General features: G+C 36.5%; 1 protein-coding gene and 1 long non-coding RNA gene across 3 annotated transcripts in view; one reads left to right on the forward strand and one right to left on the reverse strand.

Annotated features, from left to right (window-relative positions):
• Positions 1 to 23,806, reverse strand: part of SIM1 (SIM bHLH transcription factor 1) — a 79,913-nt gene that overhangs the window by 13,925 nt on the left and 42,182 nt on the right. For both annotated transcript variants that reach the window (NM_005068.3, NM_001374769.1), the window contains exon 10: positions 21,857 to 22,025. In NM_005068.3, coding sequence (NP_005059.2) covers positions 21,857 to 22,025 — 169 coding nt within the window. The remainder of the gene's footprint in view (positions 1 to 21,856; positions 22,026 to 23,806) is intronic.
• Positions 1 to 23,806, forward strand: part of SIM1-AS1 (SIM1 antisense RNA 1) — a 51,311-nt gene that overhangs the window by 5,448 nt on the left and 22,057 nt on the right. The window lies entirely within an intron of this gene.

The following is a 23,806-nucleotide window of genomic DNA, read 5'->3' on the forward strand; positions in this document are numbered from 1 at the left end:
TGTGTGTGTGTGTGTGTGTGTGTGTGTATGTGTAGTAGTAGTAGTAGTAGCCATCCTAATGGGTGTGAGAGGTGTCTCATTGCAGTTTTGATTTGCATTTCTCTAATGATTAGTGATGTTGAGCATCCTTCCGCAGGCATATTTGTCATTTGTAAATCTTTGGAGAAATGTCTATTCAAGTCCTTTGCCCATTTTTGAATTGAGTTGCTTTTGTTGTTATTGAGTTGCTATAGCTTTATTTTTAATAACCAAAAACTGGAAACAACTCAGATTTCCTTCAAAAGATGAATGGTTAAACAAAATATATTCATACCAGGCAATATTACTCAACAATAAAAAAGAATGAACCATTGATACATGCACCAATGTGGATGAATCTCCAGTGAATTATGCTGAGTGAAAAAAGTCAATCCAAAAGGCTATATGATTCCATTTCTACAACATTCTTGTAATGACAAAATTACAGATATGAAGAACAAATTAGTGCTTGCTAGGGTTAATGACAAAAGCAGGAGTAGGAGAGAAGTAGATGTCATAAAAAGGCAACATGAGAGATCCTTGTGGTAGTGAAATTGTTCTATATGATGATAGTAATAATGCAATATCCTGGTTGTGACATTGTACTACAGCTCTGCAAGATGTTACCACTGGGGAAACCAGATAATGAGTAAATGGGCACTTTCTGTGATACCTACATTTTAACTTAGAAGTATATCAAATTTACAATTTGACTAAAAACAGAAAAATAGACAAATCAAGAAAACACATTAAATATAGCATAATGCATTCAGTAAGTATTAAATAATATGACAGCATTGAGTCAAACATATCAACCCCATCCATAAATGTGAATTGGCTTAAATCACCAATTTTAGAAAAGAATTTTCTGATAATTTATAGAGCAAACTCAATTCTATACTGATCATGTGACATGCCTAAAACACAGTTTCAAAAGGCTAAAAATAAAGGGAAAGGCAAACATAAACAAGGCAAATGTAGACAATAAGAAACCAAGAGTTTGGATTATAAAACCAAGCAAAGTAGAACTCAGGCTTTAAAAAAAGCATTAAATAAAACAAAACAAAAGACATTTTATGTTGCTAAAAGCCAGAATTCACAAAGAAGATAGAAATGTTATGAATATTTATGCACCAAATAACATTGCAATGCCATCTACATGAAGCAAAAACTATAGGAGATACAAAGGAGATATAGAAACATCCTGACAAATAAAAGACTAACATACCACTCTTAGTAACAGAGTAAAGTAAATTTTAAAATAATAAAGACTACAGAAGACTTAAAAAAAAAGAAAACCAATCAGTTAAATTGTATGGCTATATATCACTTCACATACTGATAATAAAGAAGAAAGCTTCTTGATGTAGATGCCCAATCATCAAAATCAAGCAAATATTAGGTCACAAAGAAAACCTCAGTAAATTTCATGGAGTAGAAATATAAACAACACCCTCTGATCACAATGCATAAAAATGGAAATTAAAAACACAATTTAAAAAAATGCTTCAACCTGAAAAAAAAACTTTTAAATAATCCTTGGGGAAAATAGGCAAACACAAATTACATAAATTAAATACAGAATTCTGGAGGTAAAAACTGCATATCCAGACCTATGAGATACACAGCTTTGAAGAGCTTTACATAGGAATGATAGGGACATGTCAAAATGACACAGGAGCCAGCTTGAAGGAATTGCCTCTGGCCAAATACAGAAAAACTTAAGCAAAAGTAAATGACAGTAATGAATAAATTGTAACCCACTAAATAAATCCATGGGTCCAAACTGGCAAACACACTAGCTAATAAACGGGGAAACATAAAGGAATCTTCCTTACAGTAGAGTGCCAACTGATGAATATGGAGGGAGTAGTTGAGTTAGAAAATATACATTTTGCAATCACCTCAATAAAGATTTATTTGGGCACAGATGATCATGGATGATAAATCTCGGGGAAAAACTGTTGAGAAATAGGCTATTTTTATGGTCTTAAAGGGTTTCCCCACAGATTGCTTTTTAATTAGAAGGAAAAAAAAACAGTTATACAGTAAAGAAACCAAATGACACTTTCACCAGGTGATCAAAATTAATATCACCACCCAACTCAGAACAGATGGACATCATGTGCCTCTGGATGTGACAGACACTCCGAAGACACAACCTCACTAATGAAGTATTCCAGTGGATAGTGGATAATGTATAACCAGAATCTAACCATGAAGAATAAGCACACAAACTCAAACTGAAGAACATTCTGTAAAATAACTGGGCTGTGTTCTTCAAAAATGCCAATAATATGAAAGAAAAGGCCAGGCTAAAGAACTATTCAGATTAAAGGAGATGAAAGAGGCATGAAAATTAAATGCAATATAGACTCTTGGACTAAGTCTTGTACTAGAGAGAAAATAACAAATGCTATTAGGGATGTTACTGGAGAAATCTTACATCTTACACCTGTAAGATTAGATAAAAAGCATCTTATGAATGTTAAATATTCTGATATTGATAATTGTGCTGTGGTTATATAAGAGAATATTCTTGTCCTTAGGAAATACACATCGATGTATTAAGGTTTAGGTAGAGGCATGACATATGTAACCTACTCTAAAATGGTTCAAAAAAAATAAATAATAATGAGGGCAGAGGGAAGGGAAAGAGAAAAAAAATGATAAAGCAAATGTGGCAAATGCTAAGCACTGGTGAACCTAGTGTACAATTATACTATTCTTGCAACTTTTCTTAAAGTATGTAATCATTTTAAAATAAATATTTGAACATCAGAAAAATCCCATATAGTAAACTTATGTCTTATTTTTATAGAATCATTTCAGACAAAGCCCTTTTTTAAACAACATTTTTCTGAAGAAATGGAAACTTGTTTTAATAAAGCTATAATTTAATCGTTTAAATCTTTGTTTTTATTTCTGACTGTTAATATTTTGCATATGAAAATATAAAGTTATCAACTAGCAATTTCAGTACAAACAAATCTTGGATTCAGACATGGGCGTATCCTCATCTACTGCCATTTCATATGACTTGTGCAAAGGATCACTTTTCTTGGGCCTTGGTTTTCCCATTTGTAGAATAGGAACAGACTACCTTATAGGATTGCAGTAAGAATCAAATAAATAATATGTATAACAGCACTAAAAAATACAAATGGTACAGATATGTATGTGTCATGTAAAGGTCCTTGATTAATCACTTTCACTTAGGTAAACAGAAATGGTTACCATCTTGTAAAAATTATTTTCTGCTGTAGACTATATTGTCTAGAAAAACCTTGTTTTCAGTACCATCTTATAGGCAGGAAAAGATAAGATATATATGTTAAAGGATTAAAAAAAATCAATATTCCCAACTGCAGAAAGAAATCAGGCCACTAGCCAGTCATCTAAATAGTAGGGCCTTTTCTTCCAAATACTCCAGTTTTCAAAGCTGGAAGGTAGTTTGGTACCAACAGTTTTTATCATTTACACTTTGATTAAGAGCCTACAGATGTGTTTTAAGAGTGGCGAGGAGGGAGAATCATGGTCAATTAGGTTTCAGGCAAGCCTGTGGATGGTTCTCCTAGCCTTTCTTGGTATTGACATTATTTTCTTTTCTTTTCTCTTTTTTTTTTTTTTTTTTTTTTTTTTTTGAGACGGAGTCTCGCCCTGTCGCCCAGGCTGGAGTGCAGTGGCACGATCTCGGCTCACGGCAAGCTCCGCCTCCCGGGTTCACGCCATTCTCCTGCCTCAGCCTCGCGAGTAGCTGGGACTACAGGCGCCCGCCACCACGCCTGGCTAATTTTTTGTATTTTTAGTAGAGACGGGGTTTCCCGTGTTAGCCAGGATGGTCTCGATCTCCTGACCTCGTGATCCACCCGCCTCGGCCTCCCAAAGTGCTGGGATTACAGGCGTGAGCCACCGCGCCCGGCCGGTATTGACTGTTTTCAAGTAAAACAGTCATGCTTTATGAGCTAGAGAGTATTTGCTCTTCTTCCTTTGAAAAGATAACAATGTTTTCTCTTATACTTAAAGCTGAGAAACTGAGTTATTCCTTTATTTTCATTAGATTATACCAATCAATTAAGAAAGTTCAGTAAAAATCTAGCTTTAATTTTCCTGAAACCTCTTCTTAGAAAATTTTTTGTCATTCTGAATACTGTGCACCTTAATTTACCTCAATTTCATATTTAAGTTTTAGTTTTCAAAACAAGCATTCATTTTGCAAATTAAAATATGAGTCAGATGATGGATGCCCTTGTTCTCATGAAACACGCAACCAAATGCCAGCCACCAAAGGTGGGCTGAGGCTGGCAAGCAAAAAGCTCAGATGACTGCCAAAACTGGATTTCAGATGACATCCACAGTCCCCCAGCTCTCCCCTGGAATTCAGCTTATAACAGAATCATTCCTTCTAGAACAGACTGATAATTCATCAGGTTAAAGGCCTGAGCCATCCTTTGGGGCTTAATATGCACCCAATGGGATCTATTTACAAAAATTCATTCTAACATTCATTCTAATATTTATTAAGTGCCTGCTTTGCAAGGCGGCATGCCAGGTGATAGGAGAAATACAGCCCCACCTTCAAGGTGTTCACATTAAGAGGGATATAAATAATGCACAGAATATAACTTTAATACACTTTAGAAAAGGCAAAGACCTGAATAGAGGGAAAAACAAAATAGGAGTTCAAAGAAGGAAAACATTACTGTTTCCCTTAGTAAATAAGTTATTTAGGAAAAAGGAAAAGAACTGTGATGTATTAAGAAGCAACTTACTATATGATTTGCTTATGCTAACTAATACCCATTACAACAATAGTTACCATTATTAAACACTTGCTATGCATTCGTCACTATGCAGATTCCGTACACACTGTTTTATTAAATGCTAACAACATCTTAAAAGTATTATTAATCCCTTTACAGACATAACAAATAAGGTTCAAAAAATGTTTTTGCCCAAAGTTGCATGATTATGAAGTTTAAGAGGGGACATGTAATTCCAGAACTCTTACTCTTTTCACTGTCCCATACTTCAATATACTATACTTAGATAAGAAAGACAACAGTGTCCTACCCCCTATGCAGTAATAGATTTCAAGTCCCCAAGAATCTTTTTACAAAGGGGACTTTCTCCAGCCTCTACACCCCGTAAACCACCTCCACACACCCTTAGGTATGTCCTCTAATCACTCAAACAGTCTCATACCACAAGTACACCCATAGATATTCTTCTTTTGATTACGGTCGTTAAGATTCATTCCTGCTTCAACAGCATGTTCCAGACAGGTGCTCTGCATTCATCTGGATGTGGCAGCAACCACCCAGCCCAGGAAAAATGCCAGATGTTCCAACAATAGATGTTATAGTTATCTATTTTTATTCTGGCAGCTCATTGAGGTTTTTATCATTTATAGCTGTAAAATATATAAAGAGACCCTCTTCTGGTAAAGTCCTGTTTTTCATGAAAAACTTTCACTCTATCAGGCATGAGCAGCTTTCCTCTTGATTTGTGTCTGAACCATGAGAAAAGAAAAATCACAGATGCAGACTGCATTGTACTAAGAACATATGCATGCTTTTAAATCACTTTTATCTTTTTTTTTTTACTAATGTAACCCTGAAACATAAAATATGTTCTTTTTTTTCATTCACTGTTATGGGAAGAACAGATGGTGAAAGGGTTAGATTAAAGTAATACAGCATGTCCATTAAAATAACCCCCACTTCTCGGGATGCTTCCCTCAAACAGGAGTACTGTTTACTATAAAGAATGGCTTTGGCTTACACACATTGGAAATTGCCAGGAGTTTTCTCAAGGATAAACACAGGAGTAAGAGAAAAACTAATGTCAGAATCAAATGTATTTTTAAATGACAATAATGCAACTTATTTTGCTAATCTGAGAGGCTGATGGAAACTATGTGCCTGTGATAACGTAGCTGAACAGCAGTCAAATAATAAAGTTCATTTCTAACTTGAAAAATTTTAGTACCTAGAAAATACAACTAAATAAAGCTGCAAAGAGAATATCAAGTAGAAATTATTTTCTACATTCCTGCACTCCTACAAATAATAGAAATTTTTGCTGCCATTTCATTTCTAATTTATCTTATTAATAAACAGCAAAAATAAATCTATATAATACATATTAATAAAAACTAAGTATAATATGATTTCTAGACAAGTCTCACAAATTTTTAGCATTGGAAAAGAACCCTCCTGAGATATGTTTATGAAATTTAATTCAATTACATACAGTTCCTAAAGAATTAAGCTTTAAAAAAAACTTCAAGAAAAGTTGGAGAATATATTCTAAAAGAAAAATTACATCAACCTTGAGTCACATTCCAGAGTTGAGGATAATTTTGCTAGAGGAACTGAGCAGTAAATATACTCATTTATACTATAAATAATTAGATGGTAAATACTGAATCAAAATTCAGTTAATAAAAGTTTTAAATATTTTGGCCATTTCTTCCTTCATTTTAAAGAATAATACAAATTATCAGCTTCCCAAAACCAATTTTAAAGTATTTATTCACAAGATTTCCCCCCATTATTTTATAATTTGATTCATTTATAGTTTAATCTATTATTTATCCTGATTTTTTTACCTTTTATCCATATTTTAGTCATATTTAGCTCAAAAACATATTCTGGCAAGAAATCTTTTATACATGTAAATTCTCTGATATATTTCATGAAGTAGAAACATGGGAAGTTTTAAAAATATGCCTCAAATGTGGTTTGAAATGTCACAGGCCTTCTCTTAATCCACCCCACCCCCCAAAAAAAGTTACAAAAATGTTCCTGGGATTTGGTTCACTCATTTTTCTCACAGAAAAGTAACCACAGTCCACATCTCATTAGCTGTCAGGGTGATGTGCAGCTGGAAGGGAATCAGCACGCAGGACCCAGGGCTGGGTTTCCTTCAGTGTAACTCTATAAGGAATCTCCTATAGGATTCCATATGGAGAGAGTCGTTCCCAAACCATGAAATCTACAATCCATCCCTTTTGTAAATCCAAAGGTGATGTCTTAAAGACTTGCAAGCATTTTCATTGCACTGAATATTTTAATCAGGTAACAATAAATTAGAATAAGTATTTAATTAAGTCCTTTATGTCATGGCATCCACGGCTGTAAATGATTCAGTATATCCCAACTTGGATAGATAATGTAGAAATAGTTCTAGCCCACTGGGTAAAATCCTGGATTTCCAGAACCAGTAGCACTAATTTTAATTTAAAGTAGCCCATCTTCCATGATGGGCTTCAGGCATGTGCCAGAATCACTTTGATCCTTTTGCTGATGCTCTGACTCACTCTCTGATTTTTCATATGTAAGTGGCAGATTAAATGGGTTTGAATTAAATGGGTACAGGTGGTGCCACCTGCTCCAACCCCTTGTGGCAGCTTTGTTTGGTCTTCTACTGCTTTATTCTGTGTTTGGACAAAGCATGGACTGCCCAAGCTGTTCTTGGGAGTGTCCTAGAACTAGGCCAGCAGATTGTCAGGCATATTACCAACCTTGTGCACGCTGAAAGAGGAGGTCTATCAGATTTGTAATTTTGTAAAAAGAAATTGAAGCTTAAAGGCCCTCCACCAAGTTGAGCAACTGTGAATGGAAGGATAAGTCTACCTTTTCTTCTTCTAAGTCAAGTACAGTAAAAATGAGGAAAACTAAAATAATATAAACTATATTAAACAATATACATCAGAACCTTTGCCTCAAGCTTTACTGCAGTATAATTGACTACTAAATTGTATACATTTATGGTATACAGCACCATAAATTTAATGTACGTATACATTGTGCAATGAATACCACAAACAAGTTTGTTAACACATTCGTCACCTCACATCGTTACCTTTTGTGTGCATGTGGTGTGAAAACTTAAGATTATTCTTAGCAACTTTCAAGTGTAAAATACAATATTATTAACTATAGTCACCATGCTCTACATTAGATCCCCAGAACACATCCATCTTATAACTGGAAGTTTGTACCCTTTTGATCAACGTCTCCTCATTTCCCCCACCCTCCAAGCCCTGACAACTATCATTCTCTATGAGTTTGATTTTTTTAGATTCTACATATAAGTGAAATCATGCAGTATTCATCTTTCTTTATGTGGCCTATTTCACTTAGCATGATTATCCATTTTTTTGCAAATGACAGAATTTCCTTCTTTTGTGGCTGAATAATATTTCATTGTATATATATACTTTTTAATCCATGCATACAGTATTCCATATATAAGTGAAATCATACAGTATTCGTCTTTCTCTATCTGGCTTATTTCACTTGGCAGGTTCATTTACTTTGTTGCAAATGGCAGAATTTCCTTCTTTTGTGGCTGAATAATATTTCACTGTACATAGATACATTTTTTAATCCACTCATTCATCAATGAACATTTAGGTTGTTTCCATGTCTTCATTTTGAATAACACTGCAATGAACATGAGAGTGCAGACATCTCAACATACTGATTTTTTTTTCCTTCAGGTATATAAGAAGTGAAGTTGCTGAATCATATCATAGTTCTATTTTTAATTTTTTGAAGAACTTTCATACCATTTTACATAATGGCTGTACCAATTTACATTCCACTAACTGCCTGGGTTTCCCTTTTCTGCACATCTTTGTCAACACTTACCTCTTGTCTTTTTAAATAATAGCCATTCTAACAGGTACAAGGTGATATCTCATTGAGGCTTTGATTTGCATTTCTCTGATGATTAGAGATGTTGAGCACCTTTTCATGTACATGTTGGCCATTTGTATGCCTTCTTCAGGAAAAGGTCTAGTCAGGTCCTTTGCTCATTTTTAATCAAATATTTCCTTCTTCTTTTCTTTCTTTTTTCTGCTTTTCTCTTTTGTTTATTTTGCTATTGAGTTGTACAAGTTCCTTATATGTTTGTGATATTAACTCTTCATCAGATATATGATTTGCAAATATTTTCTCTCACTCCAAAGGCTGCATTTTCATTATATTGTTTATTTTGCTATGCAGAAGCTTTTTAGTTTGATGTACTCCCACTGATTTATTTTTGCTTTTGTTGTCAGTGCTTTTGGTGTCATGTCTGAAACATCATTATCAAGACCTATGTCAAGGAGCTTTTTCCCTATGTTTTTTTCTAGAAACTATATAGTTTCAGGCCTTACATTTAGGTTTTTAATCCATTCAAGTTAATTTCATTCTTTGTATGTAGATATCTGGTTTTCCCAGCACAATTTATTGAAAAAACTCTTTTCCCCATTTTGCATTCTTGGCATCTTTGTCAAATAATAGTTGATCATATATATGTGGGTTTATTTCTGGGGTCTCTATTCTCTTCCACTGGGGTATATGTCTGTTTTAAAGCTGGTACTGTTATTGTATGGATTATTATAGCTTTGTATAATAATATTGTTTGAAGCCTGGAAGTGTGATTCATTCATCTTTGTTCTTCTTTCTCATGAGGTGCTTTGGATATTCGGGATCTTTTTTGGTCCTATATGAATTTGAGAATTTTTTTTCTATTTCTCTCTTTTCTTATTCCTGGTCTTAGAGGGAAAGTTTTCAGCTTTTCACCATTGAGTATAATGGTAGCCTGCCCTATATAATCTTTACTATGTTGTGTTACATTTATTCTATACTAATTTGTTGAGAGTTTTTATCATGAAAGGATGTTGAATTTTATCAAATGCTTTTTCAGCATGTATTGAGATGATCACATGATTTTTATCCTTCATTCAGTTAATGTGGTATATAACATTTATTGATTTGTGGATGGAACCAACCTTGCATCCCAGGGATAAATCCCACTTGATCATGGTGTATGATCCTTTCAATATGTTGTTCAATTTTGTTTGCTAGTAATTTGTTGAGAATTTGGGTGTCTGTGTTCACCAGGGATACTGACATGTCATTTTCTTTTCTTGTGGTGTCCTTTTTGGCTTCAGTATCAGGGTAATGTTGGCCTTGTAAAATGAGTTTGGAAATGTTTCTTCTTCAATTTTTTGGAAGAGTTTGAGAAAGATTAGCATTAATTATTTAAGTGTTTGGTAGAATTCACCAGCGAAGTCATCTGATATTAGACTTTGTTTTGTTTGGGAGGGTTTTGATGATTGATTTAATCTCCTTACACATTATTGATGTGTTCAGATTTTCTTTTTTTTTACATACTTTAAGTTTTAGGGTACATGTGCACAACGTGCAGGTTAGTTACATATGTATACATGTGCCATGTTGGTGTGCTGCACCCATTAACTTGTCATTTAACATTAGGTATGATGTGTTCAGATTTTCTGTGCCTTAATGATTCAGTCTTGGTAGACTGTATGTTCTGGAAATTTATCCAGAAGAGTAAGTTATCCAATTTGTTAGCATATAATTGTTCATAGGGGTCTCTTATAATCATTGATATTTCTGTAGTATCAGCTATAATATTTCCTCTTCCATTTATAATTTTTTATTTCTGTCCCCTATCATTTTTTTTTGGTTAGAAAGCTAAAGATTTGTCAATTATGTTGATCTTCTCAAAAAACCAACTCTTACTTCTGTTTATCTTTTCTATTGTTTTCCATTCTCTATTTCATTTACTCCTGCTCCAATCTTTATTAATTCCTTCCTTCTGCTAAACTTCAGTCTAATTTGTTCTTTACCTTATAGTTCCTTTAGGTGTAAAGTTAAGTTATATGAAATCTTTATTTTTTTCTTAATGTAAGTGTTTATACACTTTCCTATTAAAACTGCTTTTGCTGCAACCCAGACATTTTTATATGATGTGTTCCCATTTTCATTCATCTCAAGATATTTTTTATTTCTTTTTTTATTTATTCTCTGATTCATTGGTTGTTCAGGAGTTTGTTAATTTCCATGAAATTGCAAATTTTTCAATTTTCCTCCTGTTACTTACTGTTAGTTTCATACAACTTTTGTCAGAAAAGATACTTGATATAAGTCCAACCTTCTTGAATTTATTAAGACTTGATTTGTGGACTAACAAATGACCTATCTGGAAAATGTTCCGCATGAGCTTGAGAAAAATGTATGTTCTGCGTCAGAACCTTGACCTTATGGAAAAACAAAGCAATTCCATGCACTATAATACGCCAAGAGAGTTTCCTAAAAAATCTGTGAAAGAAGGAAGAATTAAAGAAATCTATATTTCTCAGCTAAAGATATCCAAATTCAACTTCATTAACTCTAGAAGGGTCAAATCCCACCATATACTGCCAAATGAGGCATTGCTCTCTTTAAATTTACTCTTTAGTTTTAATAATATTTTATTCTATAGATTTTGTTAAAACAAATTTCCCTAGATACGTTTTGATAGTAGATTCAGCCATTCTCCTCCTCTCTTCTTTTAAGCTGGGGAGCGGAATCACAAATTGCAGCATCACTTCCATTAAGCCAGAAGCAGAGGCTTCCCATTTGATTTAGCACAGTTGCTCCACCCGCTGCCTGATTTCTTTTTTGACACTAACTCTTCCCCAGATCCAAACCACACTACACTATGGAATTGTGACATGCTGAACATAAATTATGACATATATCCAGGAATCTGTAAGGATGAGAGACAAAGCTGCAGCTGTGCTTTGATGGGTGGATAGGATTTGAGAAGCAAGTTATCCTCAGGCAGAGTAAACAGACTCTAGCTAAAGTGGAGTGCTGACATGGGGGCAGGCTTGGCAGGTGGACTGGAGTGGGTAGAGTGAGGCAGGCAATGGGCCAGACTGTCAAGATTGGATGTCATACTCTAACCAATGAGGTGGCTCTGTAGGTATTTAAGCAGATAAAGTAAGGCATAATGAATATCATATTTCAGGAATCTTATCCTGGCAGGAATGATCAGAGACCAAAAGAACAATAAAGAGGCAGATGAAGTTCTCTAAATGTGATGTCCTCTTCCAGAGAGCCTGGAACCAGACAAAGACAGTGAGGAGGGAACAAGAGTCAAGAAGCATTATGAAGGAACATGACCCTCACAAGGCCTTTTATGTCCAGAATATCAAAAACCAAGCCAAACAAACAGAAAATAGTTTAAGATACTTTCCCTTTATTGTGGAGAAAATCTATCTTTCATAAGCATAACACTATTAAAGATGTAGAACAAAAAATGTATATAAACTATTAGAAGAAGAATAAGAATGTAATCTAGAAAGAGACTAGTTATCATGAGAACTGAGCCCTGGAACTAGGGCTGAGCCCATAAACAAACATGGGTAACTGAGATGGAAGATAGGGTCAAATGGCATTTCCTACACAGCCACTCAACTGCCGATGCAATTATTTTATTATCAAAACACACATACAAAGTAAATAACAGCTGTCACATATTTTCATTTTGTACTGGAGACGACAGTGAGGACATGAAGACTAGAAAGCCCAGTTCAGGACTGGAAACCCTGGAGTATGAGACAGAGAGTGCTCATTCAAAGTTTTACTCTCAAAAGAACCCTTAGATTCTACCACATCTAATTCCTCCTCAGCACTCAGGTGTTTGATTTTTATTACACAATGTGGCATTTGTCAGACCATCCCTAGGTTGTTTTGTCTCTTTACAGACGTTATACATTTCTTAGCAGCAGTATGTTCCCCTCTTCTTGGGGTTTTTATATCTCCACAGACAATTAACAAAGTGTCCGCACAATTTTTAAATTTATTTATTTATTCATTCATTCCATTATCATTTAGTGAGTAAATACATGGATGCTGGGGAATGGAGGGGGAGGGAGGTGGATATGAAAAAGACACGTCATTACTTTCAAAGAGATTATAGTCCAAGAGAGGAGATATGACATGTCTAGAAGGCAGTAGAAGGCAGATTATTCTAAATAGGGGTCCAAAGGAGAAATATAACTCAGCAATATTTTATGAAAGAGGTGGCACTCAATCTGGACCTTAAGCAGAATTTTGAAAAATAGGGGCAATGCATGCAGAAATAAATGCATAAGCACAAGCGTGGGGGCAGAAAAAGACAAGGCATTCACCGAACAGTGAGTAGGCCAGTCTACCTAGATCACAAAGTTCAGGTAGGGGACCAACAAGAGAGAATGCGGGGAAGGTTATTTAGGGCCCAATTATAAATGACCTTGAGGAACAGCTAGGGCAGTGGTGGGTCTCCAAGTACTAACATGATCAGTGGTCTCTGATCATGGTCTGGGAGACATGGCAGACTGGGGAGGAAAATTTTCCAAAATAGGGAGAAAATTAAGATGCTGTTACAATCATCCAGGCTGAGGGACCTCCCAGGACACGGGCAATGGGGGAAAGAAGATCAAATGGGTGAAAGCACAGAAAATCACATCTTGGGCTGGGCATGGTAGCTTGCGCCTGTTATCCCAGCACTTTGGGAGGCCGAAGCGGGTGGATCACCTGAGGTCATGAGTTCAAGACCAGCCTGGCTAACATGGCGAAACGCTGTCTCTACTAAAAATACAAAAATTAGCCAGCCGTGGTGGTGGGCGCCTGTAATCCCAGATACTAGGGAGACTGAGGCAGGAGAATTGCTTGAACCCAGGAGGCAGAGTTTACAGTGAGCCGAGACAGTGCCACTGTACTCGAGGCTGGGTGACAGAGCAAGACTCTGTCTAAGAAAGAAAGAAAGAAAGAAAAGAAAGAAAGAAAGAAAGAAAGAAAGAAAGAAAGAAAGAAAGAAAGAAAGAAAGGAAAGAAAGAAGGAAAGAAAGAAAGAAAAGAAAGAAAGAAAGAAAGAGAGAGAGAGAGAGAGAAAGAAAGAAAAAGAAAGAAAGAAAGAAAGAAAGAAAGAAAGAAAGAAAGAAAGAAAGAAAGAAAGAAAGAAAGAAAGAAAAAAGAAAAGAAAAAGAAAGGGAGAAAGAGAGAACGAAGGAAGGAAGGACGGACGGACGGAAGGAAGGAAAGTCACAGCTGGGTGTTGAGAGTGATCATGAGTCTGGTCCTTGAAGGGGCACCCAAGCTACACCAGGAGTTTATTAACTGTCATCTTGCAGCCCCTCTGCAAATCTTGTAAACAGGGATAAACCCAATCCTGCTGATAACTCCCCTTAACATGTGAGCTCTCTAAGCCTAGGGGCTATTGGTTCTCTCACTATCTGCTCCCAACTCCTGTCTCCAGATCATTGCTGGAAGGGCAGGTCAACTCCCAACACATACCACCACCACCACAGATACCACACTGACACCACCACGTTCCTTTATCTCATTACATACTACATGTGTTTTAACGATGTTTACATTTTAATCTTCCCCATTGAATCCATAAGCTCTCTGGGGTGAGGACGGTATCCTCAGGACTTAACACGTCTCATCACTCTCCTGCTTCTTTCTCCATCTACCCCCATCACCTTGGTGGGAATCATCCATCCATTCACTCATGCACTCACTCAATATCTGCTAAGGACCTCTAGGTGGCCAAGGCAATCTGGTTACCACGGGCAACATCTCCTATCCTCATGAATCTTATCTTTACTGCCCCAAAATGTCTTCCTTTTAGCATGTCGTTGTTGGTAGGTCTAATTTCACCTTCCTCATTTATGCCACTTTTTCTCATTTTTTCTTCTTATTGTTCTTTTCTTATTCAATAATTCCTGCTGCCTTACTTAGAAAACTAATGCGACTAAATCTAGCCATCCATTTACTTAATTTTTGTGAGATTTGTCATCTTTAAATTCTCACTATTAGGAATGCATTCTAAATGCCATGTATCAGTGTGTATTATGATGTTATGATAGTAAACATCAATAAAATATTATACCTAAGATACCCACTTAAGTAAACAAACAAAAAGGTATACAATCCTATGTCTGATTCCATGTACCTACTTTATCTACCATAAATATCTATTTTATACTGTTGTGCTCCAAAGCAAGGTAAAGGCCAAATAAGTTCTCTATAATGGCTTAGATAAACTGCATTGGAAACAACCACTTTTGCCTATCCCTACTGTTAGTTCCCTTCCACCTCTTTACCCTTCTGCACACTGTCTCCTAAAATGTTCCCTTTCTCTATGCTCCTTTACCATGCATATTCACTCAGCAAGATTGTGTGTCCTTCATAGCAGACTTCACTATAACCTATTTGAAATAAGGCACTCTGGTTCCTCCTGAGACCCAGGATAGAAAAACAGGATAGTGACAAATACATTTGGGGTTATAAGGAAGTTAATTAATGGAGAATAGTATGAACAGAATGTGATTTCATAAAGCAATCATGGAGAAACCCTGTTTGTAAAAAGGGATGGATGGGCAGAAGCCAACAGTCCCTGGACACCACTGTCTGCCCCTTGCCTTAGTCATATGCCAAGAGAATAAAAGGGCAGAAATTGTGGCCTTGAGGCCCTATGACCAACGACATCTTATAATTCCTCTCTAACAGGTTAGCTTTGCCTCCCCAACTAGACCCTAGTCGCTTAAGAATTCACCTATATTACTTCATTGCACATCATAGTATTTAACTAAATGCAAGAGTTAGTAAAAACCAAACTACAGAGGCCTCACCCCACTGAGTAAAATGTTTTCTAAAATAATAATCTGAGATTCATTTATGAAAACCATCTAAAAAGATTATAAAGGTCTACTCTAATAATCTCCTAAAATTTCAACAGGAGAGGAAGACTAATCTCAAATTTATCCATGAACAGGAAATACAAATAAACCTATCTAATATAAGACTTTCTAGGAAGATAACCTAAATTTTTCTGGCAAAATGCATTAAAAATTTTTGTTGTTAATGGTCAAGGATTACACATTTGGGTGTTACATATAAAACATGAAATGAAGGAATAGCTATACCAATAGAAGTGCTATGTATAAAGGGATAACTATGCTTAAGAAATTATTGACCCTTCTGATATCTGTGACTTAAAAAGTCAGTCTCTCAGCATAGTAGTCACTGGTATATTTTTGAGACCAGAGAAAACCTTTGCAAAGGAAGAGTTTCTACCTTCACCAAAAGGAAGCCAGATTGCTGGCAATGAAAATTAAGAGGGTTCTGTGGGATTATTTAAGGTAACAGATGTGGAATAAAATCTGCAAGTGTTACAGTGTGTCTGTAGCAAGTGATTAAATACTTTCAGATTTCAGAAGCATACAGTCTTCTGTAGGCACTGTTACTACTGAATTATATAGTGTATTGGTTATTACTGACTAGGGAAAAGGCAAGAGGAGGGCAGGATGACATGATAAAACAGGATGGCACGCACTTTCTGTAATAAATGTAACTACAAACATGCCAGTGAGAAGTTTAAAAGGAAACTCTGGAATGAGGAGGCAATTTATTCATGATTGACATGACGAAACCATGGCAAGATAACATCCAACTTGTGTTAATGTAGCTATAACTAGTTTTATTAAAATAGAAAATATTGCAGCAATTTCTAGCAGATAAAGTCTTTGAAATAAATTCTATAAACTCAGGTTTTCTAATTCAGCAGAACTATGAAAAATACATTGCTATTTTCATAAGCATAACAAATGTCATAATAATAAAATACAACTGTCATAATGGTAAGATTGCCACCATACAGCAGCACAGTAGCTATGGGCAGAATCTTTGGAAATTAACTGTAATATTTCTTACAATTTTTCCAAAACCATTCAAAACAATTTTATTTTGACCTCTCCTGTCCCAAGTAATACCTTTGTAACTGAGTCATTCATTAAGTGGCCATAATATAATCAAGTCTAAAATCATTCCTAAGGGTATCTCATAGCAGAAAGGGACCTAAAGTTTCATCTATTAATGCAGACAAACTGGACAAACTGAGTGGTGGTTAACAGAGCAGGAGCACCATCATCTCGGACAAACACCGCCACTTTAAGTTCCAGCTCCTTTTCTAGCCTTATGCATTTCAAGGAAATCACTTTCCTTCTAACTACAAGCAGCCAGAAAGAGCAGACAGTAAAATACAGATAAGACAGCTTGGGCACAGAGGGAGGTGGTGGGAAAGTCTCTTGGGTAACTGCCAAACTTTACCCTCATACAATGGGCCCCAGTAAAACAGGGGGCCTTAATAAGCACATTCCTTTTCCTTCAGGTTCACTAAGATAGGGAAGCTAAAAGCAGACTCAGGAGGATGCCTGCAGCTGCATGAAGATGTATGGGAGCAGACATACAACTCTCCCTCCCAGATAAGCACAACAAAGAGACACAGAAGCAGTCCAATCCTCTAATAAACTCTCTCACCCTGAATCCTTAAAAACTCTTAGTCTGTAAGACAGTGTGGCTCTGACCTAACTCAGCCAGAAGTCCCTCTCAGGTTCATTTTCTAAAATAAACCTGTCCTTGTTGACTGGAGAGCCACCCTTCATGTTTCTCTCCTCTTTCTTTAATTCTTACAGTGGTAGCAAATTACAATTTGTGCATGTCTTGCATATTAGTATAAGGGTGCCTAAATAATTCCAAAAAGCAGTGTTACTGTCAGCCATTTGTTAGGTATGTTAGAAATCTAGATATGCCTAATACATATTAGAGCAAAAAGCCTAATGTATAATAGTGATAGAATCATTAAACCACCATTTATGTAAGTAGCTAAAGAGGCACAAGACATTACCCTATGAGTCCAATTTTGCTTTTGCTCTGGAAACTGCCTCTTGAAAATTTTGATGAGAATTTGCATGCCAAAAATATGTAAATATGTAGATAACAAAAAAGACTGCCATCTTATTTTTGAAAAAATGGACAGAAATATTTAAAATTAAATACAATTAAAAGCTTTATCATTTAGTCACTAAAAGGGAATTTATTTTGCAGCTATTAACACAGAAAGGAGAATCTGATATGTGTGTCAATAACTACTAAAAGTAAGCTTTAAAAGTATAATTTCCAACTAAATCCATAATGATCAGAATATATTTATGACAAGAAAAGATACAAGCAACAAAGGATAAAACATTCTATCCATTCTTCCTCTACAGTCCCTTTTATTTCAGGAGAGAACTTCAGTTTAGATCTTCATAGACTCATGCCAGACTATTAAAATTTGTCCCCTAAATAGTTTTCCTTGCTTCAATCACATTAATCCTCTCATTTCCTGTTCAAAACCTTTACTAGTTCTCAAAAAAAAAAAACAAACTCTAAACTCTTTGGCCTAGCATATAGTTGGTACCAATCTATGTTTCCAAACATACCACTTCTTCTTTGCTCTCATTAAATGACACCAACCCTCCTCCACTCCACCTCCAGACCCAATCACATTAACAATTTATTCCTGCATTTCCTCATAATCTTAGGCTTCCTGAAGTCCCCTCTCCTCTCCCTTATGCCCATATACCTGAGTTCTACCCTCGACGCTAGGTCTTTCACAACACTTTCCTCAGCTAGGCCAGAGTCCATATTGCTTACACCACCAGCAATGTCCTTTGTATACACCATCTCCTAGACAATAGTTATTCTAGTATATAATTTATGACTTCATCTGTACTGCGAAACTTAAGGATATTTCTTTTACCACTTCCTTATAGTCTAGCACTTTTTAATCCAACCCCTAACTCCCAACTATTTTGATGGCCAGAGAAGTATCTTTTTAATGCAGGTATTCAGCTAGCATCTGTTAAGTCAAAAACACATAATAGCAATGATGCATGAAAATTAAAAGTGAATTATTCCTTAACAGTATACAAACAATTTGGACCAGATAAGATTTTTGAGAAGCTAATTTAAAAAAAATTTTGAGAATTTAGAATCCAAGATGGAGGACTTCTAAGTTGCTTCTTCCAACAGAAACGGTGATGAGTTTGCCCTGGACAACATGCTTTTCCAGTGTGCCCCAGAGGAAACTCTCAGCCTATGACAATTCACTGTAAATGCCTGCTCACTTGTCTGTCTATACCACCCAGGATAGCATGTTCCATTTCTGATCTCTAGGTTATCAACAACCCATGCAGTAGGAACTCATCAATGATTGATTTAGCACCATGATTATCTAAACACAATTAAAGAATAACTTTAACTAGGTGCATAAATGTTAAGTAAACTTAATTTACGACTGTGCAATTTCAAATGAGACGTATGGTTGAAATTCTAAGGACTAGTTTATATAAGCATTAACCACAATAACAAATACACAAACTTCAAGATAAATCTTATGTGGACATATGTGTGTGCATGTGCATTTCATAGAACATTTCTAGAAGAAAGAACAATTTTGGAGAGAAAAAATGAAAAATGGGCACTTGGGAGGCTGACGCAGGAGGATGGCTTGAAGCCAGGAGTTCAAGACCAGCCTGAGCAACAAAGTGAGACTCCCATGTCTACAAAAATTAAAAAAAAATTTTAAAAATTAATGGGGCACATTGTTGTGTGCCTGTAGTGCCAGCTACTTAGAAAGCTGATACTACAGGGAAGTATTGCTTGAGCCTAGGAGTTTGAGGCTGCAGTGAGCTAGGATCTTGCCACTGCACTCCAGCCTGGGCAGCAGACTGAGACCCTGTCTCCAAAAATAAATAAATAAATAAATAAATAAATAAAATAAAAAATTAAAAAAGAAAATTTTCTACTTTCTACTCATCTGTGTTCCTTTTCTTTAAATCATAGAACGTGTATAACTTTCCAGTTAACTCCTTTCTGCCCACCCTCACCACATGGAAGGGGTAGTCTAATGGTAGTTATAACATTTAGCATCCTGTTAGAGTGAACTAATAGAAATGTTAGATGTTAAGAGCTGAGTAGGAAAGAAAACAAAGACTAGACAGTGAGGATTTGGGGGTCCAATAGGGAGACTTTATTTTTGTGGCTTAATTTCTATATAACAATAGACAAACTCCTTCTACTTAGTACCTCCTAATTTAAATTCTTCTTTCATCTATGTGTCCAACACATCTATATATTAAAGGAGAGAACTACCCATAGCCATAATCCATCTTTCCAAGCAGTAAAAATAAACCATAAAACTCTCTTGCCAAGGTACAAGATAGCAATAAGAAAAGCTTCTCATTAGATGTTCCATAAAAAGAAGCAGCTCCTGGCCAGGCATGGTGGCTCATGTCTGTAATCCCAGACTTTGGGAGGCTGAGGCGAGCAGATTGCCTAAGGTCGGGAGTTCAAGACCAGCCTGGCCAGCATGGTGAAACCCCATCTCTACTAAAAATACAAAAATTAGACGGGCGTGGTGGCAGTGCCTGTAATCCCAGCTACTCAGGAAGCTAAGGCAGGAGAATTGTTTGGACCCAGGAGGCAGAGGTTGTGGTGAGCCGAGATTGCACCACTGCACTCCAGCCTGGGCAACAGTGCGAGACTCCATCTCAAAAAAGAAGAAGAAGAAGCAGCTTCTTCTCTGCAGTGACTTTGACTAAAATATATATTTTATAAGTTAAGTGCTCAGTACTTATAATGGAAGTTGTACACTGAAAAACATCTGGGCATCACACATCTACTCTCCTTTCTTTTGCCAGAGTAAAGAAACCTGATCTTCTGTGGAAGACCATGTGACATAAGTCTCTTAGAGGCAGAGACCATGTTGTGCTCATCTTCATACAACAAGCCACTAAAATAATCTAGCAAATAGTAGCCTCTTAGTGACCACTGGTTCAGTGAACAACATTTTCTCAAATAGTATACACTTATAGATATCAACAGAATAACATAACTCTGACAAATAAGAAAACAATAGTTTCTATACCTACTGGATTGTCATTTTTACTTACAAAATATATTTAAAAATAAATGACAAAGGCCACCTTGATGAATAAGTGACTCAGAAACCAGTTTGTTTTTGTTTTTGTTTTTGTTTTTGTTTTTTTGAGATAGAGTCTCACTGTCGCCCAGCCTGGAGTGCAATGGTGCGATCTTGGCTCACTGCAACCTCTGTCGCCCAGGTTCAAGCCATTCTCCAGTCTCAGCCTCCTGAGTAGCTGGGACTACAGGCACACGCCACCACACCTGGCTAATTTTTGTATTTTTAGCAGAGACAGGGTTTCACCATGTTGGCCAGGCTGGTCTTGAACTCCTGACCTCAAGTGATCCCCCACCTCGACCTCCCAAAGTGCTGGGATTACAGGCACAAGTCACCGTGCCCAGCCTCCAGTTTGGTTTTATACTAGCCCAGGAAGCATTTGCTGAGCTACTCTAGTGAACTGCAGGAGGTATGAGATGATGCTATTAAAAGAGAAGGTTGGAGGTGAGGTGGCCACAGGATATTGGGAGTGGGTAATTCTCAGTCCTGTCCTACTTCCTTCAGGCCAGGAGAGCTGTGTACACACCTTGACACAGTCTAGTTTATATGTCTGTGACTGAACAGAAAAATAATTTTTTTTTCTTCCAAGAACCAGGAATCCTATTTGTACCTTGCAGTGTTTCTGGAATACTTCTTGGGGTCTCATCTTCTCTCTACCTTGCAAAGATGAGCAGAATTTGCTTTTCCTACCATTCCTGCCATCTGGAAGACCCTCTTTATTTCATTCCTTCTAGTAAATAGCCAGTCTGTGTTCAAATTGCATGGGAACATGCATCCTTGATCCTTTGCCTCCCCCTCTTAATTTTCTTCTTCTTTAGTTCCTGTCCCAAGATGCATTTTTCTACATCGAGCTCTTGTTTCCTGTATTTTGTTATGCTGGCTACATCATGGTCACTCACTGGGTGGGAGGGAAATTCAGGATCAATCTCCTCAAAATCACAAAGAAGTTATAGTTCTGACAACAACCAGACTCTCATGACCTTTATATTAATGCAGTAAACCACAAAATTATTTCAAAGTTATACTAGCAGTTATTTTAAAAGGAGGCAGATAGTTTAGAGAACCTTCCAGATTTATAGAAGTTTTAGTTATTAAAACTAGATAATTCATTCCAAATAGTTTTAATACTTTCTCAACTTCAAGTTCAAACCATGTCGCCAAAAAAAAGAAAGTTGCAAAACAGCAATGCACTTACCTGAGGGTATGGGGAAGTCCTGGATTTTGACTTTGAGCTGGAGAGCCGGGATTTGGCCCCCTTTCTGTTGTCAGTCATGGTGGGGGTGGAGCTGCTGGTATAGGAGAAGGCTGGTTTGGAGGCTGAGATCTGATCCAGGGAGAGCTGCAGCCCTTTGTATTCTGTGTCTCTGCAGGGTGGGAGGACAAAGCCCTTAATCAGCCACCATAGGAAATGGATTCATGCATACTCTCATCAGGAATGATAGTAATCCGAATTTGAAAAGAAGGCAAGCAAAAGTTAGCCCTATAACTAGCTTCCACAAGCACCTGGATTATTCTAGCAAGGCCTAACATTTAACTAGTGTGCTGATAATAATGTATTTTTCATTTTTTTTCGTTAAGTGGAAAATAAACACATAATTCAAATTCTCTGAACTTCTGTGAGCTCTTTGATGAGATATGAATTAAACAACCTACTCTACAGGTTTCTTATGTGGGGTGGTTATCTGATACTACCAGATTATTGGTAGCATGTCTACCACCAATATAAGGAGAATGTCTACTTTCAGCTGTTCTAGGATCAATCATTCTGGTAAACATTCAAAGCATTTTTAAAGTTAGCTAACTAGTTTAAGCAGGATTATAAATAGTTAAAAATTCCTCTCAACAGGTTAGTTCAGTTCCTTTAGGTACATTTTACCACCGTTCTTTCCATTCCTTCGTTTATTCAATAAATATTTATTGAGTTCCTAATATACACCAGACTTTGTGCTACAATACAGGGGGATGTAAGAATAAATAAGATACCTATAAACCCTGCCCTTGTGTGGATTATAATATACTGGGGAGAAGAAACAGTAAACAAATAAACATATATAATAACTGCAGACTGTGGTATGAAGCTTATCTTAGGAAGCTCATTGCAAAGGTATACTTGAGATATCTAGAGCCTGAAGATGACAGCCTTGGCCTGCCCATAGATACAACCTCTGCTGGCTTCTAGACAGCAGCGAGTCTCATCGGACTCCTCAGTTTTCATAAGAGGATATTAACCCTTTCCACTGGCAGCCAAAATAAAATGTTTTAGAGTCTTCTTTATGAAGACTCATGGGAGAATTTTCTCTCAGGTACCAGAACTCGCTGGGCTGCCCCTCGGTAATTGATTTATTTTGATCTCTTGAACACTGTGAATCATATAGCTCCTCACGTTTCCCTCTTTGCACTAAAATCAAAAGTCCCCAAGCCCTGAGTCTGATTTATAATCACTTCTAGCAAGTGTACAAAGTCCTCACGGCATGCACTTTGTGCAACAAACTCCACTGGCTTCTTTTATTTTTCTTATTTTTCACTTTCTCTGATTCTCTAATGGGTTTGCCTTTTAAAATTTTTTACATGCATTTTTAATAGTCTTTGGATTGAGAAGCATATAAAACCTGATAATTTTTTTTTTAAGAGAAGTGTCTCACTCTGTCACCCAGGCTGGAGTGCAGTGGCATGATCTCAGTTCACTGCAGCCTCCACCTCTTGGGTTCAAGCGATTTTCTTGCCTCAGCCTCCCGAGTAGCTAGGATTACTGGCAGCCACCACAACACCTGGCTAATTTTTGTATTTTTAGTAGAGACAGGGGTTTGCCATGTTGGCCAGGCGGTCTCGAACTTCTGACCTCAGGTGATCCACCCACCTTGACCTCCCAAAGTGCTGGGATTGCAGGTGTAGGCCACTGCACCCGGCCTAAAACCTGATAAATTAATAAAATCATATATGTAAAAGTGACTGGCACATTCCATGGATCAGCAAATATTCATTTATCTTCTTTTCTTTGTCCCTATTGGTTCTTCTATAGCAAGATCAGGCAAAAGCAAAAATATAATTCAGTACTTGAAAATCGCTAATAGAGTAGATTTAAAGTATTTTCACCACACACACACACACACGCACACATAATGATGAATATATGAGGTAATGCACA

The sequence above is a fragment of the Homo sapiens genome, chromosome 6, assembly GCF_000001405.40.
Source record: "Homo sapiens chromosome 6, GRCh38.p14 Primary Assembly".
In the NCBI taxonomy this organism is placed as follows: domain Eukaryota; kingdom Metazoa; phylum Chordata; class Mammalia; order Primates; family Hominidae; genus Homo; species Homo sapiens.